The 3,997-nt window shown below is 40.0% G+C and overlaps 1 pseudogene; it reads right to left on the bottom strand.

Moving 5' to 3' along the window:
* Positions 1 to 1,989: 1,989 nt before the first annotated feature.
* On the bottom strand, positions 1,990 to 3,997 carry LOC107984133 (serine/threonine-protein kinase Nek2-like; annotated as a pseudogene).

Raw genomic sequence — 3,997 nt, 5'->3', positions numbered from 1 at the left:
CCGAGGTGGGAGGATTGCTTGAGTCCAGGAGTTGGAGACTAGCTTGGGCAATATAATGAGACCTCGTCTCTACAAAAAATTTACAAATTAGCTGAGTGTGGTGGCACATGCCTGCTGTAGTTATTCGGGAGGCTGAGGTGGGAGGATCGCTTGAGCCCGGAAGGTGAAGGTTGCAGTGAGCTGAGATCATGCCACCGCACTCCAGCCTGGGTGACAGAGAAAGACTCTGTCTCAAAACAAAACAAAACGAAACAAAACAAAAAGACACATAGACAACATTAAGTTCACCCTCTTATATCAATGAACTTGTAAACAATTACAATAGCAACATTAAAGATCACTGATCACTATAACATGATAATGAAAACATCTAAAATATTGTGAGAATCAGCGAAACGTAATGCAGAGACAGAAAGTGAGCATATGCTGTTAGAAACACGGCACCGCAAGACTTGCTTGACACAGGGTTGCCGCAAACATTCAATAGGTAAAAAACAATATCTGCAAAGTGCAATAAAGCAAAAACACTATAAAACTTAGTGGGCCCGTACATGAGATTTCTCTGCATTATTTCTTTTTTTTCTTTGTAGAGATGGCGTCTGTCATCCAGGCTGGAATGCAGTGGCACCATCACAGCTCACTGCATCTTTCAACTCCTGAGCTTCAAGGGATCCTCCTGCCTCAGCCTCCCAAGTAACTGGAGTCACAGGCATGGGCCACCACACTGCGCCCAGCCTGTCTTTTCATTCTTAACAGTGTCTCTGGCACAGCAGACATGTTTCACTTTAATGAGGTCCATCTTGCCCATTTTTTCTTTCGTAGATGGTGTTTTTGTGTTGCATCTAGAACCTCATTGCCAAACCCAAGGTCACCTAGATTTTCTCCTATGTTATTAAACTTACAGAAGTTTGCTAGTTTTGTGTTACATTTAGGTCTATGGTCTGTTTTGTGTTAATTGTTGGGAAAGGTGTAAGGTCAGTGTTTATATTCATTATTCCACATGTGGATGTCTAGTTGTTTCCAGCACTATTTATTGTAAAGACAATCTTTTCTCCATTAAATTGCGTTTGCTCCTCTGCCAAAGATGAGTGGCCTCTATTTGTATGGGTCTATTTCTGGGGTGCTTATTTTGTTCCATTGATCTATTTACCTATTCTTTTGCCAGTACTTCACTGTCTTAATACATACAGAAGACAACATAAACAAAGTAGGAAGTCAACTATAAATGAGAACAAAGTACTTGCATTTTTCCCCCAAAGTATTTTAACCAAACATTTTGCAAAAAATCAAAATGCAAAAATATAAGAATGTCAACAAATTTGCTCAACTATAACAGAAAAAGAAAGCTTACAAGAGAATGTAGAGCTCAGAGTTTCTATTTACTGTTCATTAGATAAATGGTTTAAATGGACTGAAAACCCTGAAAAACTGCTCAAATTATAAAGAATCTATGAAATACTATGGAAGCATTTTCTAACCTGTTTCTGAAACCTCTGAAAAAAACTCATCATGTATCAATACAAGCTAACTTGCTTTACAGAAATAAAAGGAAAACTATACATTTCATTACATGTATACATGTGTCTTTCACATACTTGTAACTCAGAAAACCATGCTTTCACAAATATAATAATAGAAATACCATAATATTAGCAATCATAACATTCGTGAAACTATAAAGAAAAAACTGGCCGGATGCTGTCTCTTACACCCTAGAACCCAGGTTCTGGTCAGGGCTTCTCTTGGTTGTATGAATTCACCTCATGGAACTGTCGTAAGACTCAAAAGAGATAGTGTAAACAAAAGCATCCTATAAACTGTATTAGCCTGTAGATATGTGGTTCATGTAAATCCAGGCACTTTAATGACTGACAGCTGCCCCGGCAGAACCGCTTGTCTTGGTTCTTTTTTTTTTTTTTTTTTTTACAGGGAATCTAAAGAATTCTTTTATTCTGTTAAACAGAATAAAAAGGAAAAAAGAACACAGACATCACAGTGATGAACTTTCACAAAGCTAACAGATTTGAACTACAGAGCAATGGAATATTCATAAGCAAGATGTCATGGTATTAATGACCAAATGGCATCCAACTAGGTTTTCTAAGCTCAAAAACATTTAAAATCTCAGACTTAAAATTCAAATCTAGACATGACAATTGTAAGCACACCACTCAGTCATTTAAAACTATGCAGTGAGTGCTACTCCTGATTAAATATTTTTTTCTTGTTATTTTTTTCTCCCAAGATTTAGAATGTCACATCTCATGTTCTTACTAGTAATCACACACAGGATTAAAAGCCCAACCAAACAAGAAAGTATTCTTTTTATAATGTGTTCTTAAAAGAAGAAAGAAAAATTAAATGTGAACATTTTGTACAACAGTTGCTGAAGAACAGCAACACCAATTCTGAAATATCATGTGGACTATACAAAAAGGCACGGCTCATGGAACCAAGTATGTAACGCTACAGCATTTGAACATCAGTCTCCAAAAGTTGGTGATATTACATCCTGTACACAGCTCTGTGTCTCTCTACCCGGCTAGCGCATGCCCAGGATCTGTCTGCTTTTTAGTTGATAATTTTTCTCAAAATCTGACAGGGCTTGAGCCCGCAGCTGGGCAGCATGAAGCATGAAGCAAGGACCTTCAGGTCCTTGCACTTGGACTTAGATGTGAGCTGACTCTCAGAATTCTCACTCCTCATGACATTCTCTTTACTTTCCCCACTGAAATGAACTTTCTTCTTAATTACTGAGGATGGAAGATTAAGAAGTTCTGGACTACTTGCCAGAGACAGGAACTTCTGTTCCTTTAGCAAGCTGTAATTCTTCAACAGATTTTCTGGTATAGTCAGTCTGTCCTCTGCTAGTCTCTCACAAACACAAAGCTCCTGTTCTTTCTGCTCCAACCTTTCTTCTCCTGCTTTGAGAGCTCGCTCTTGCTCCTCTAACTGAATTTCCTTTAGTTTCAGCTCACTCAATACAGGGCTGGAATCCGGCAATTTTTCTGGCTCTCCTAATTGTCGCCCTCTTCTCTCAAGATTTCTTCTTTGCTCTTCTGCAACCAAATCTGCTATTAAAGGGTTCTCGAGAATTTCTTCAACAGAAGGTCGATGGTAATCCTTTAACATCCTCATAATAATTTCATTCAATTCATCAGAGTAACGGTATAGAATTCACCTGAATTTGCCTTCTCTGATTTTCCCAGCGAGTTCTTTCTGGCTAAAAGCTCTAAATGGAGGCATTAATGCATGCGACTCATACGGCAAGCAGCCCAATGACCAGATATCTGGTTTCTCATTGTAGGACATGTGATTCGTTTGTTCAGGAGACATGTAATAAGGTATGCCAACAAATGTTTTTGCAAAACTCGTGTCGTGGTTTAATATTCTGGCTAGCCCCAAATCTCCAAGCTTGACGTTTTGCTTGCCATCCAGGAAAACACTGGCTGGTTTCAGATCCCGACGCACTACAGTATGATCACCATCACTTCGTCTGTGGCATTACTTCAGGGCCAGAGTCAACTGAGTTGTCACTCGAAGAACAAACTCTTCATCTAAGTATTGCCTTTCCTTGGTTCCCTTTGTAATTACACTAGCCAGGTCTCCTTCTTCACAATATTCCATTACAACGTACAGTGTTGTGTTGGTCCGGTCAATAATACGATCATAGTAATGAACGATGTTTGGATTTTTCAGTTTACAAAGCAAATTCACTTCAGAAATAAGCATCTGTTTCTCAGCTTCTGTCATGAAGCCATAATCAAGTTCTTTCCAAACTAATATCTTGCTGTCACTCTTCCTCCGGATCTTCCGGCAGCGGCCATAGGAGCCTGTGCCAATGGTGTACAACACTTCACAGTCCTCAGCCCGGGACGGCATGGCCGGCCAGTCACCAGAGTGGCGCTGCCTCATGCAGGTTGTGCCCCCAAGTGCGGAGCTCCAGGGACCGGGAGCTCCAGGGACCTGGATGGAGAAGCCCCCGAGCAGCACTGAC

Source organism: Homo sapiens, chromosome 14 (genome assembly GCF_000001405.40).
Source record: "Homo sapiens chromosome 14, GRCh38.p14 Primary Assembly".
NCBI classification, from domain to species: Eukaryota; Metazoa; Chordata; class Mammalia; order Primates; family Hominidae; genus Homo; species Homo sapiens.
Note: the sequence above shows the minus strand (reverse complement) of the source record. Positions and strands in the feature narration are given on the sequence as shown.